The sequence below is a fragment of the Homo sapiens genome, chromosome 11 (genome assembly GCF_000001405.40).
Source record: "Homo sapiens chromosome 11, GRCh38.p14 Primary Assembly".
NCBI lineage: Eukaryota > Metazoa > Chordata > Mammalia > Primates > Hominidae > Homo > Homo sapiens.
In genome coordinates, this window is record NC_000011.10 from 111,746,057 (window position 1) to 111,760,663 (window position 14,607).

General features: G+C 40.8%; 1 protein-coding gene across 15 annotated transcripts in view; it reads right to left on the reverse strand.

Moving 5' to 3' along the window:
• Positions 1 to 14,607, reverse strand: part of PPP2R1B (protein phosphatase 2 scaffold subunit Abeta) — a 78,390-nt gene that overhangs the window by 58,057 nt on the left and 5,726 nt on the right. For 11 of the 15 annotated variants that reach the window (XM_047427193.1, XM_047427194.1, XM_047427195.1 and 8 more), the window contains 7 exons: positions 13,748 to 13,895; positions 9,239 to 9,394; positions 8,924 to 9,038; positions 8,443 to 8,513; positions 7,387 to 7,521; positions 6,103 to 6,276; positions 1,898 to 1,958 (listed from right to left, as the gene is read on the reverse strand). In XM_047427193.1, the coding sequence (XP_047283149.1) occupies positions 1,898 to 1,958; positions 6,103 to 6,276; positions 7,387 to 7,521; positions 8,443 to 8,513; positions 8,924 to 9,038; positions 9,239 to 9,394; positions 13,748 to 13,895 (860 nt within the window). The remainder of the gene's footprint in view (positions 1 to 1,897; positions 1,959 to 6,102; positions 6,277 to 7,386; positions 7,522 to 8,442; positions 8,514 to 8,923; positions 9,039 to 9,238; positions 9,395 to 13,747; positions 13,896 to 14,607) is intronic. The other 4 variants (XM_024448600.2, XM_017017960.2, NM_001177562.2 and 1 more) reach the window with 2 other exon arrangements.

Consider the following 14,607-nt stretch of genomic DNA (forward strand, 5'->3'; position numbering starts at 1 on the left):
GAAGGAGTAATCAAGTTGCATAGAGAAGACAATCTTACAGAGAAAGGGTGCCAGGAATTTAATTCTTTGTGGAATATTAGAACTTTAAAAATTCCTCAAAATAAAACACCATCTTAATCTAAAATGCCAACTTTTAAAGAAAGCATAGAATGACTTGAGGCCAACCCAAATGCCCATCAATGACAGACTGGATAAAGAAAATGTGGCACATATACACCACGGAATACTATGCGGCCATAAAAAAGGAATGAGTTCATGTCCTTTGCAGGGACATGGATGAAGCTAGAAGCCATCATTCTCAGCAAATTAACGCGGGAACAGAAAACCAAACAGTACATGTTCTCACTAATAAGTGGGAGTTGAACAATCAGAACACATGAATACAGGGAAGGGAACATCACACACTGAGGCCTATCAGGGGGTGAGGGGCGAGGGGAGGGAGAGCATTAGAACAAATACCTAATGCATGTGGGGCTTAAAACCTAGACGACAGGTTGATAGATGCGGCAAACCACCATGGCACATGTATATCTATGTAACATAACAAACTTGCATGTTCTATGCATGTATCCTAGAACTTAAAGTAAAATAAAATTTAAAAAAGCACAGAATGATTTGCTAGGATGCACCATTCCCAGTAACGTCAAATATTTATCAGATATAACATAAACATTTTTTTTAAAAGTGGTATTTCTTTCCTATGATTTGCCAAATTTTAATTTTATTTAAAAAGAAATAAATAGGCCACAATAAGATAACTTTAGAGAAGAAAAAGAGAAAGAAGTCTACAATCCAGTTTGAAAACACTGGAAATACCCACATATATAAGCCCTTATACATTTTCACATATTTTTTCACATCCTTCCTCTTCACACTCTTAACCATATGATCCTCCATATGATGCAAACATGCCTTTAACAAAACCACCCACACGTATAAGCAGACACAAATATCCTCATTCCTCCCAAATTTCCAGGCATAAGCACCCATAGATGAACAAAGAGATACACTAAATACATATATCAAGTATATAAAAGATACTGTGGAACTGACTCAGGTTATCTATTATATCCACCAAAACATGGAAACAAAGCTCAAGGACAATGTCACATGACCCCATAGGGGCACTCACACTCATCGAAACAGGTCTAAGACAACACTGAAGCTGTCAAGTCTGGACCTGGGATCTGGCAGAGACGGTACATCTGTCACCCACTGCTGCCTGGCACACAAGGGGATACACACATATACCTCTACCTGAAGCCTCACCAGGAAGTCACTTGCTCATTCCTGCTGTCCTATCTGACCTGCCCTGAGCTCACCCTCTCCTAGCACTGTAGCAGCAGCAGTGAGAGTACAAGCAGTAAGCCTTCCTTTCACCCAAACCAGAAATCCAGGCCCTCTCTCTCCCTATGGCAAAGCTAGTGTTTCCCACACCTAAGAATCCTCTACTGTCTCACTGTAGATCTCCTCTTCTATGTCACCTCAAAAAGCCAAGTAGCCATTTCTCCCACCCAGGCCTTTCATCTGATTCCAATCTCCATACAACCTAGTGTATAGCTGCTGAAGACACCAATTACAGGATGGTCAAAAAGAGGATCTTCAGATAAGGGAGGAGTAAGTAGATATATAAAAGAGATGGTCTGAAGATAATGTAATAGATTGAGTAAGAAAATAATGCAAATAAATTGTTTAATGGAGAAAATAAAATCGAAGATACAAAAAATTGGTAGAAACGTCAAATTTATATTCAGAAGATTAAACTTTAATTAGAGCCTTTCTTCATTCCTACAATATTAAGGCAAAATATCTGGTCAGACTGAGATTCCTTTCTAAAAGGAAATGTATGAAAATCATGGATATATGGGCTTTCAATAATCTGTTTTTATCTACTCACCATGGTCCACGAGCCAAGCCATACATAAAGAATTCAGCTTTTCATCAAAGAATTCCACACCCTACAGATACAGAAGATTCCATTAACATACATTGCCAAAATTCAGAAATAAAGATGGTCTATTTACATTACACCAAGGTTACCTGAAGGCTAAAAAAACTTGTTTCCAAATAAACAAATAAGAGATAGAAACACCACAGGAATTACAAACAAACCATAAATCTATTTATTGGACGGAAATCATAAACAAAAAAAAAGCATACGTGAGCTGGCATAGGCCCTGCTAGGTAAAAGAGAACAGGGTGGCCAGAAGTCAGCCACAACACTGCAAAAGAGCAGGAAGAATGCACTGTGTATGGTCTGCCAAGCAAATCTGGATTACCTGTAAAAATGAATTACCCAGGAAAACACCTGTCAGTAATATTACTAATTCTCAATCGTCTTCCCTTTTTGGTTACTATTATGACAAATCCTTAAGGATAAAGCAACTGACCTCAAGACATAGAGATATCCCCAGTTAAAGAGAGTATTTTCGAGACAACAGGAGAAAGCCCTGGAGGGAGAATAAAGCAGGCCCAGGACTACAGGGCATATGGCCCAGGCATGGCTTGCTCTCCCAGCCCTGTTCCTCCCGACTGTCAACAGGTGGCCACTTCAGTGCAGGCTGGGGATGGGCTCCGGGAGCAGATTTACACAGTCCTCTAACCCCGGGGCTTCCACACCACATGGAGAATGCTGTGACACACTTTCCTAGTGCCTCCCTTCTGGGGTCTACACATTTACAGTCTTGCTTCTTTGAACTCTAAGAAGTTCCTGACTGGTGATTCTATATTTTAAAAAAAGAGAGGTAATATAATGTGTCAGTGCTTTGAAAATAGTGATTGAATAAGACAAAATAGCTTTTTTTTTTTGAGATGGAGTCTCACTCTATTGCCCAGGCTGGAGTACAGTGGCACAATCTCAGCTCACTGCAACCTCCACCTCCCGGGTTCAAGTGATTCTCCTGCCTCAGCCTCTCAAGTAGCTGGGATTACAGATATGCAGCACATGCCCAGCTAATTTTGTATTTTTAGTAGAGACAGGGTTTCACCATGTTGGCCAGGCTGGTCTCTTAACTCCTGACTCAGATGATCCGTCCGCCTCAGCCTCCCAAAGTGCTGGGATTACAGGCATGAGCCACCGCACCTGGCCCAAAATTGCTTTGTACTAAAAGATCATAATGAACAAATTTTGGCATACACTTAGATTACGTCAGCCAAGATTTCTTTTTCATTTCAGGTTGAGAATTTTCCTTCAGTTTTAATTAACTTTTATTTTCCAGTTTGTTGTTGTTGTTGTTGTTGTTGTCGAGACGGAATCTCTCTCTGTCGCCCAGGCTGGAGTACAGTGGTGCAATGTCAGCTCACTACAACCTCCGCCTCCTGGGTTCAAGCAATTCTCCTGCCTCAGCCTCCCAAGAAGCCTCCCAAGTAACAGGCACCCACCACCACACCCGGCTAAATTTTTTGTATAGTAGAGATGGGGTTTCACCATGTTGGTCAGGCTGGGCTCAAACTCCTGACCTCAGGTGATCCACCCACCTAGGCCTCCCAAAGTGCTGGGATTACAAGCGTGAGCCACTACGCCTGGCCTATTTTCCGGTTTTTGTAGTTTAACTTTACACTTACTTAACATCGTCCACAAGCCAGGTCATACATAAAGTCTTGAGAGAATTTTATAAAATGACTATCTGATATAAAAATATTTAGATATGAAGAGAAATTAAGGAGAATATATATACTAACAAGAAGTTAAAATTGTAAAGCAAAATGTTCATGACTGAGGCATGTCACCCCTGCCAGACAGGTGTAAGTCAGCCAAAGACACCATCTGCCTTGCTTTCACACTGCTCTCTATAGAGCTAGCAACCCTGGGAAACTTTCCAGGTCTAGAAGGAGCAGAGGTTAAAAGAAATGGTACTAAAATGCACCCTCCCTTCCAGATAGTTTTGGTCTTCAGCAAATCAGTTAATCACTGCTCCTCTCCACTCTGAAAAGTAGATCCATGACAATCACCAGTGAAGAGAAGATGACCCATAGCACTTGGGAGTGACAGACAAAAAGGATGACAAAATAACTTCACCTGATCCCATTTGCCATGCACTAATACCTCTGGTATACTTTTCAAAGAATCGGACACTTTCAATTTTATAAAACATATAATGCCACAGACATCCACAAATTGCATGTTCATAAACTAAATGTACTAAAATTAAAAATACAAATTCAGGGGTTCAAGACAAGAAAAAATAAATTCCATATGTTGTGACCTGAAAGGAATGGAAGTGGGAGTGAGGAAGGGGAAACAAACTGTAGCGATGTCAATAGTAAACTGACACATCTTTCTCAAAAAATACTCAACAATCAACAAATGTTGGCTATACACAGTGGCTCATGCCTATTATCAGCTACTCAGGAGGCCGAGGCAGGAGGATCATTTGAGGCCATGAGTTCAAGACCAGCCTGGGCAACAGCAAGACCCTGCCCCCAAAATAAAAAATGTTAAGTGCCTAATTAATGACGGGCACTATGGTAGGGACTGGAAATAAAATACAGTCCCTGCCCTAAAAGAGATCACCCATCTCTCCAACTAGACTGTAACAGACAATTACAATACTCTGTAATAAGTGCTACCAACAGAGATGAAGGTACATCAAACTTAGAACTGTCTAGGCCACCTACTCAAAAAAAGGAAAGGATGTGGCTATAAAACCCAGCTTTGAAATTTTAACTAACATGGTATTAGTTAGGGTAACACTGATCACGAAACTCAAACAGTAACAGATAATGTGATAATGTGGACTTTGACCAAAATACTAACATTACAAGCTTCAGTTTTTGTTTTTGTTTTGTTTTTTTTTTTTTGACACAAAGTTTTACTCTGTTGCCCAGGCTGCAGTGCAGTAGTGCAATCTTGGCTCACTGCAGCCTTCGCCTCCTGGGTTCAAGCGATTCTCCTGCCTCAGCCTCCCGAGTAGCTGGTATTACAGGTGTGCACCTCCGTGCCCAGCTAATTTTTGTATTTTTAGTAGAGATGGGGTTTCACCATGTTGGCCAGGCTGGTCTGGAACTCCTAGCCTCAAGTGATTCGCCTGCCTCTGGCTCCCAAAGTGCTGGGTTTACAGGTGTCAGCCACTGTGCCCGGCCTTTCAATACTTCTTTTCTATATGGTGATTCCTCAACTCCCTTTAATCAGAATGTAGGGCAAGTGGTACCTAGGGACATTTTGCTTAGAATACAAGGCAAACAGGGAAGTTTCCTTGAGCAAAAATCACAGCAGACTTACCCTAAAACCATAATCCCTTTTCTTCTCAGTTAAACATTTCTTAAGTCACAAAGGCATTAAATATTATAAAATTTACATTATATATACCAAGAAACTGATTATTCTATGGCTTTGTTTTTCGGTGGTGATGAGGTGAAATATGTTTCTGTAATACAGATTAAGCATCCCAAATCCAAAAATCCAAAATGTGAAATGCTCCAAAATCCAAAACTTTTTGAGCACTGATATGATGCTCAAAGGAAATGCTCATTGGAGCATTCTGGACTTTGCATTTTTGAATTTGGGCTGCTCAACCAGTAAATATTTATAATGCAAATATTCCAAAATCCACTTCTGGTCCCAAACATGCTGGTCCCAAGCGTATTTAGATGAGGGATACTCAACCTATACCTTTTTGTTAGAAATGTATGCACTAATAGGCCAGATGCAGTGGCTCACGCCTGGAATCCCAGCACTTTGGGAGGCTGAGGCGGGTGAATCACCTGAGGTCAGGAATTCAAGACCAGCCTGACCAACATGGTAAAACCCCATCTCTATTAAAAATACAAAATTAGCTGGGTGTGGTGGCATATTCCTGTAATCCCAGCTACTTGGGAGGCTGAGACAGGAGAATCGCTTAAACCCAGGAGGTGGAGGTTGCAGTGAGCCAAGATTGCATCATTGCACTCCAGCCTGGGCAACAACAGTGAAACTCCATCTTAAAAGAAAAGAAACGTATGCACTAACAAACATAAAAACCATCCTATAGGTAACAAGAACAAGGCCATACTTTCATGCATCTAAACAAACATAAGCATACAGGCTACTAGGCCTCCTACTTGCCATGGTAAATTGTCACTATCTGACACTACCCTGCAGTTCATGGAGCAACACATACTCACCAGCTGGCCTGCCAGCAGCGGCATATACTCAATGATGGCCAGGCGGACCCTCCATTTGGCATCTTCTGCCAGCTCCACTATGGCAGGAAGGAGAGACTGAGAGAGCTGACGGATTCCAATCACTTCATTTACACAATCCAAATTGGAGATGATATTCAAACGAACGTCAGGACACTGCAAGTACACAAGCCCCAAAAGACCACATTTAAAAATCAAGTACTCTGCCCAACAGTCTCCTGTCAGGGTAAGATAAAAGGTGAGGTAAGACTCAGGTGAAAAAAAAATGGATAATCTTGAAGAAATAATAGTGAATACATAAATAACTCAAGGAACATAAATGATCTTAATCAGAAATTTCAATTAAAAGTCCGTAATACTAAAGACTACAAGAAAAGTCCGTAAGATGGTAAAGAGCATAATCTCTGGAACTAAATCAGATGCACTCAAATTTCAGATCTGTCATTGTTGAAAGACCTTGCTCAAGTTACTTTAACCCTCTATGCCTCAGCTTTCTCATCTGTAAAATGGGATAATTGGCCGGGTGCGGTGGCTCACACCTGTAATCCCAGCACTTTGGGAGGCCGAGACGGGCAGATCACGAGGTCAGGAGATCGAGACCACAGTGAAACCCCGTCTCTACTAAAAATACAAAAAATTAGCTGGGTGCTGTGGCAGGCGCCTGTAGTCCCAGCTACTCAGGAGGCTGAGGCAAGAGAATGGCATCAACTCAGGAGGCGGAGCTTGCAGTGAGCAGAGATTGCGCCACTGCACTCCAGCCTGGGCGACAGAGCAAGACTCCGTCTCAAAAAACAAAACAAACAAACAAACAAACAAAAAGGGATAATAATAAGACCTACCTCACAGGATTGTTGTGAGAATTGCATGTAAAAATACATGCAAAGCACTAAGGCTCATGCTTGCCATGTAGTAATTACTCAGTAAATATTAGGTATCATTATAATTTTTGATACTATATTTAAACTTAAATAAATGAAACTTTTTAAACAAAGACACATTAGCTTTAAAGAAACCAGGGAGTATAAAGCAAAAATCAGGTAAAGATGATAAACAGATATTTCTAGGTTTACTCTAATGGGTACTTTTGCCCACTTTCTGAGGAACCTATAACCCCATACCCAAAATCACAGGTGTCATTGGTTTAAAATAAGTTATGATTTTTTTATCCATTTTCTTTTTGGGGGTTCTATTTTAATGAAACCCTAAACCAAAATCAAATAAAATCAAATTACTATCAAAGGCAACAGAACATAAAGCAAGACCCACCTCATCCTTTAACTGAGCTAAGAAAAGAGGTAGAAGATGTTCAATGGTATTTTCTTTGCCCAAAATAGTAGACAATCCCATAATTACAGAAGCTAGAGCCGATTTGACATGTTGATTGGTATCGGATACTAATTCCTAAAATAAAATCGAAATTAAAAGCCTTTATTACAAGACAACAGAAACTTCCATACCATTATTCTGGGAAACAGAGTCTTGCTCTGTTGCCCAGGCTGGAGTGCAGTGGCATGACCTTGGCTCACTGCAGCCTCACCCTCCCAGGCTCAAGCACTTCAGCCTCCAGAGTAGCTGGGTCTACAGACATGCACCACCAGGCCTGGCTAATTTTTTTCATTTTTTGCAGAGACAGGTTCTTACTACATTGCCAGGGCTGGTCTTGAACTCCTGGGTTCATGCAATCCTCTTACCTTGGCCTCTCAAAGCGCTGGGATTACAGGTGTGAGCCACCACGCCTGGCCTAATTTTTTTTTTTTTGAGACAGTGTCTCACCCTGTCACCTAGGCTGGAGTACAGTGGCATGATCATAGCTCACTGCCATCTCAACCTCCTGGGCTCAAGCAATCCTCCCACCTCAGACTCCCAAGTAGCTGGTACTACAGGTGCATGCCACCAGGCTCAACTAATTTTTGTATTTTTTGTAGCAATGGGGTCTCACTATGTTGCCCAGGCTGGTCTCAAACTCCTGGGCTCAAGAAATCCTCCCACCTCAGCGTCCCAAAGTGCTTGGATTACAGGCATGTACCACCATGCCTGACCCCAAGGAATTTAAAGACAGCACTATTTCAATACTGATTAGTTGATAATGTTTCCTCAGACTACTTGTTAGGTAACATAAACCTATGCACCAAAGAGCAGTTTACAATTACAATGGGCTAATAAGTGATGAATAACAATGTTGCACATTAACACATCTTCCCCATTCATTCCCTGTCAACCTTTAAACTCAAAGAGCTTTAAGGTAAACAAACAAACAAAAATAATGAGATTAAGGTTTACCTTCATATAAAAGAGAGTGAAACAAAATAAAGTCAGGTTTACCTTTATATAAGGCAGAATTTGATTCATAATTATGGTCTCTCTATCTTCAATGGGCAAGTTCTCACCAAGTTCTAAAAGATAAATAGAAAAAAAGAATGCTTTCACAGGGCCATTTACAAAGAGCCAAATGAGGACATTTAACCAGGTTTATCAATAATTTCAATTAAATTATATGTTTAAGCAAATAAGGAAAACAGCTCTTGTTCTAAATAAACTTTTTCGTGAACTCTCTATGCCATTGCATATCACACCAATCCAACCTGAAAGGCATTTTTTTTTTTACAAAAACAAGACAAAATGATTTCTTGGTTTTAAATATAAAGAGACTATCTTTAAGTGACAATGTAACATTTCCACACACTAAAAACATCCCTATGTATTTTAAAAACATATTCTAGAACAAAAAACATGCAAAATTGACTAACAAAAAAATGCACCAAAATGAATGACACATGTTCCAACATAAATTGAACTCCTTAACCTTTTACTTTGTGGGCAGCAGCTGCCCGGACTTCAGCTTCACAGTCTTTAAGTAGGTTCTGAAAGGCGGGGATGAGGTCATTTAGGGTGATTTTAGGACCCATGGCTTTCTGGAGCTATAAAAGAATTTGAACGGGTTTTAATGTATACTAACAAAAGAATTAACAAGAACAAAACAAAATTGTGCAATCTGTAAATACATATTTTTGCCACAGCACTTCCCATTGAAAAGAATTAATTCAGAAACTTTGGGTACAACAGCAAATCTATGTGTTTTCAGGTTTATTTCCTTAGTACTTAAAAATGATCACTTTACCTCTGAAAATCTGTCAGCCACCATATAGCGAACGCGCCAAGATTTATCTTCTGCTGCTTGTCGAAGTGTAGGCATCACCAAAGTCTCAAGGTCATCCTGAGACAATAACTGGGCAATACTGACACAAGCTTCCACAGCAAGGAGGCGCACTGAATCCTAAAGGAACAAAATTTCTGTAATTCAGACATTTACTGAGACCCATGGGGAACTGCTGTGGGGTGGTGCAGGTGTTTAAAAAAATTAACACCACCAAGACTGCCACACCTTATATAGTTTCACGTCTTGACATCTTTTTCTTTTTTTTTTTTTTTTTGAGGCAGGGTCTCACTCTGTCACCCAGATTGGAGTGCAGTGGCACAATCTCCGCTCATTCCAACATCCGCCTCCCAGGCTCAAGTGATTCTCCTGCCTCAGCCTCCCGAGTAGCTGGGATTACAGGCAGGAGCCACCACGCCCAGCTAATTTTTGTATTTTTAGTAGAGACAGAGTTTCACCACGTTGGCCAGCCTGGTTTCAAACTCCTGACCTCAAATGATCCACCTGCCTCGGCCTCCCAAAGTGCTGGGTGCTGGGATTACAAGCGCGAGCCACTGCGCCTGGCCGTGTATTTATATCTTGAAAGAGCTGCTCCCGGCCGGGCCCAGTGGCTCACGTCTGTAATACCAGCACTCTGGGAGGCTGAGGCAGGCGGATCACGAGGTCAGGAGAGGGAAACCATCCTAGCTAACACGGTGAAACCCCATCTCTACTAAAAATACAAAAAAAATTAGCCAGGCGTGGTGGCGGGTGCCTGTAGTCCCAGCTACTCGGGAGGCTGAGGCAGGCGAATGGCGTGAACCCAGCAGGCGGAGCTTGCAGTGAGCCGAGACTGCACCACTGCACTCCAGTCTGGGCGACAGAGTGACACTCTGTCTCAAAAAACAAAAAGGAAAAAAAAAAAAAGAAAGAGCTGCTCCCTTTGCCTGGAATGGCATGTCAAAGTCATAAAGATAGAAATGACTTTGTACTATGAGTAAACAGCAAAGTAATTACCTTGGCTAGAATGCAGAGTTTCTATAAAGGAAATGAAAATTTTAAAATTAAGTAAAAAAGAAAAAAAAAACATTTTAATGATGCCTTCAAAGCCTTACTATAACAGAAAGTTGAGGGATAAAAATGAAAACAATATTTGTACAAGTTATTTATAACAGATTAGGACAAAGGTAAGAGTAAGAGTAAAGGAAATCACTTAGAAAGCTTAGTTTTCAAAAAACTCAGATCAGGGTCGCAGTAACAGGAGTGTAGGCAGCATAAGATAATGACTTGGAAAGAAATACACAGAACAATTAAAAGTTAGAAATCAAAAACAAAAATCAGTTGGATTTAAATGTCGAAGATCAAGGACAGAATAACTTTGAGGAAGCTGTGGCTAGAAAAACACAGAAATTAGAAAAGTATGGGATTAATGAACTCAACTTTCCAAATGTAAACAGCCAATGTCAACGTGACACCTACGTCCTTTGAACAAGTGGAAAATATACAAGACAAATCAGTGAGGGGCCAGGCACAGTGGCTCATGCCTGTAATCCCAGCACTTTGGGAGGCCGAGGCAGGCGGATCACCTGAGGTCAAGAGTTCAACACCAGCCTGGCCAACATGGTGAAACCCCATCTCTACTAACAATACAAAAATTAGCCAGGCATGGTGGCACGTGCCTGTAATCCCAGCTACTCAGGTGGCTGAGGCAGCAGAATTGCTTGAACCCAGGAGGCAGAGGCTGCAGTGAGCCGAGATCGCGCCACTGCACTCCAGCCTGGGTGACAGAGCAAAACTCCAACTCAAAAAAAAAAAAACACCGAAAAAAAAGAAACATCAATGAGAAATTAGAAATTGAGACTGTAGATTTGTGTATTATACATATATAAGGTAGAATCTTAATACATGTAAACATTAGCACCCAGGAGAAATAGGTAAAAAATTTTAAGTGTGTACAATAACAGTTATGTATATACGTATACACATACTTGAGAGACATAACAGTGACTCCAACTTCCAAAATATTACAAATCTTAGAAACTGTGTATCAACAATAACTGACTATATGCCAAAGACACACACATTCCTCTGTATGCAGGTGCACAGGCTAAAAAAGACAGGACTAAGTTCTTGGTAGTGACTACACAGATATTTTTGAATTTCGAAAATGATGCTAAATCATGGGACTGCTAATCAACTACTGAAATATAAGCTAATACATATTTGTTAAAAAATTACTTCTCTGGTCTGGTGCAGTGGCTCACACCTGTAATCCCAGCACTTTGGGAGGCCAAGGCGGACAGATCACAAGGTCAGGAGTTCGAGACCAGCCTACCCAACACAGTGAAACCCCATCTGTACTGAAAATACAAAAAATTAGCCAGTCATGGTGGCAGGCGCCTGTAATTCCAGCTACTCAGGAAGCTGAGGCAGGAGAATCACTTGAACCCGGGAGGCAGGGGTTGCAGTGAGCTGGGATCATGCCATTGTACTCCAGCCTGGGCGACAGGAGTGAAACTCCATCTCAAAAAAAAAAAAAAAAAAATTACTTCTCTTCCAGAACTTCGTTTTCTCTCCTACACCTGTTCCTCTTCCCAGAATTTTCTCTATCTTAACGATGACACCATCATCCACCCAGTTGCTCAAGCAAAAAATCTAGGAGATCTTGATTCCTCTCCCACTGATCCAATCCAATAATACTAACCTATTGATCCCACTTCCAAACTGACATCCAAATCCTTTCCATCTTCACTACCACCCTATTAACAACATCATCTCATGCTGAGACTTGAAATGTGGCTGGTACACGTTATTTACACTCAAATAATAAGATTTTGGAAAATTTTGGTCGAATACAAATATTGTTAATTTCACCTATTTCTTTTTTCTTATAAAAACATGGCCAGTAGAAAACTTAAAATCAACAGGTAGCTTACATTATATTTCTGTTGTAAAGCACTGTTTTAAACTATAACATTTAGGTAATAAAAGTGCAAAGAAGGCCGGGCACGGTGGCTCACGCCTGTAATCCCAGCACTTTGGGAGGCCAAGGTGGGCGGATCACAAGGTCAAGAGATGGAGACCATCCTGGTCAACATGGTGAAACCCCGTCTCTACTAAAAATACAAAAGTTAGCTTGGCGTGGTGGCATGCGCCTGTAGTCCTAGCTTCTTGGGAGGCTGAGGCAGGAGAATTGCTTGAACCCGGGAGGCAGAGGTTGCAGAAAGCCGAGATTGCACCACTGCACTCCAGCCTGGTGACAGAGTGAGACTCCTTTTAAAAAAAGAAAAGAAAAGAAAAGAAAAAGTGCAAAGAAAACAAAGGCTGCGCTTACCATAAAAGTCAGGATAATGTTACTCTTAAGGAAATGGAGTGGCAAGTGGAGGAGGAAAGAGAGATTGTGTTTGAAAGGGAATCCATGGAGGGATTCTGGGATAGTGGCTGTCAAAGTGATGTCTCCTATCATAGGTGATCGTTAACAAGTTGGTATTACCTTCTAATAGTTCATTAAGTTATACATTCATTTTGTACATTTATTATTAGAATAAAAATTCTAATAATTTTTAAAATTATTTTCAAAGTAGGATTTAGATCTTTAGATTTAGGATCTGAAAATGAGACTCATTAATATGTGTCCTGGGGCTTGTGGTCCTGTACACATGAAGCGATCTTAGGGCAGGCAACATGCAAATTAAAAGCCCAAAAGGACTATTCTAGAGTCCAGGAACTCTGGGAGCTGATCCTATTAAGCACCATTACAGAGAAGCGGGACAGCCTAGCTGTGAAGGGCACAAATTCTGGAGCCAAACCACCTAGATTCAAATTCTGACTCCACTACTGCTAACTATGCAAACTTCAGCAAGTTACTTAAACTTTCTGTGCCTTTGTTTTCTAATGTGTAAAATGGGCTATCTCATGGGGCTGTTGTAAGGACTGAATTACTTAATACACATAACTACTTAAAGGCAGAGAAAAATTAAGTACTTCATTTGGATGTTTGCTAGTTTTATTGTTATTTCTACACCAAAGAGATCTAGATCTTCAGAATTGAATACGATTATGTGAAGTAATCCCATACACTACTATAGAAGAAGCAGAGAGTCAAATAGCTTTCCTAACACATTCTAAGCTTATTTATCTGAAAAGTCAAAAATTCCAGGAAACATTACTCCCTCATATTACAATACAGCCAGCAATTCCCAAAGGTATGTTACCCTCCATGCAGCTTTGGTCTTCCTTTCTAATTATGGCTCCCATTTCCTCTCTGACTCCCCACTCTTTTAACAGCTGCTAATGTAAGAGAGAAATCATGGTCTGGTTAAGAAAGAAACATAAGAACATTGAGATAAGCATGTTACACTTTAACCAGGCCAGAATCAGCACTAATTCTGTAAAAAGAATCCTAACAAGAAAACTAAAACTCCCCAAAGAAATTCTGAAAATTTAGAGGAAAGGAGCATATCTGTGTCCCTTAAATACTAAGAGTTAGTTTACCTGTTCATCTGAAGCTAGACTAGTGAACAGTGGAACAATTTCACTTTTCACACTGTCTAATTCCAAAACTTTTGCAAATTCACCCAATTTGGAAGCAGCAGCACGTCGTACCATTGGTGTGTCATCTGAGCACAAGGAACGGAATTGCCTGCAACATAAAACAATGAAGGTATTTCCCATCAAATAACACTGAATAAACCTGCCCCCCATACACACAGACAGACTTTTAGAGGTTTTATCTTACAATAATCAGTGACTAAGCTTCTACTTATAGAAGTAACAAAAATAAAACATATTCAACTGGATAATAAAAAATGACATCATAGGCCAGGCATGGTGCCTCACACCTGTAATCAAAGCACTTTGGGAGGCCCAGGTAGGAGGACTGCTTGAGGCCAGGAATTGAAAGCAGACTGGGCAACATAGCAAGACCCTATCTATATGCCAAAAATATTTTTGTTGTTGTTTGTCGGGGGCTCAAGTGAACTCCCACCTCAGCCTTCTGAGTAGCTAGAAATACAGGCGGGTCCCACCATGCCCAGCTAATTTTTTTCTTTTTAGTAGAGACAAGGTCTCACTATGTTGCTCAAGCTGGTCTTGAACTCCTGAGTTCAAGCAATCCTCCCACCTCAGCCTCTCAAAGTGCTGGGATTACAAGCATGAGCCACTGCATCCAGCCAGAAATTTTTTTTAAAAATTAGCCAGGCGCAGTAGTGTATGTCGGTAGTCCTAGCTACTTGGAGGCTGAGGCTGGAGGATCACTTAAGCACAAGAGTTCAAGGTTGCAGTGAGCTATGATTGTGCCACCGCACTCCAGCCTAGACAACAGAGCAAGACCTTATCTCTTAAAAAAAAAAAAG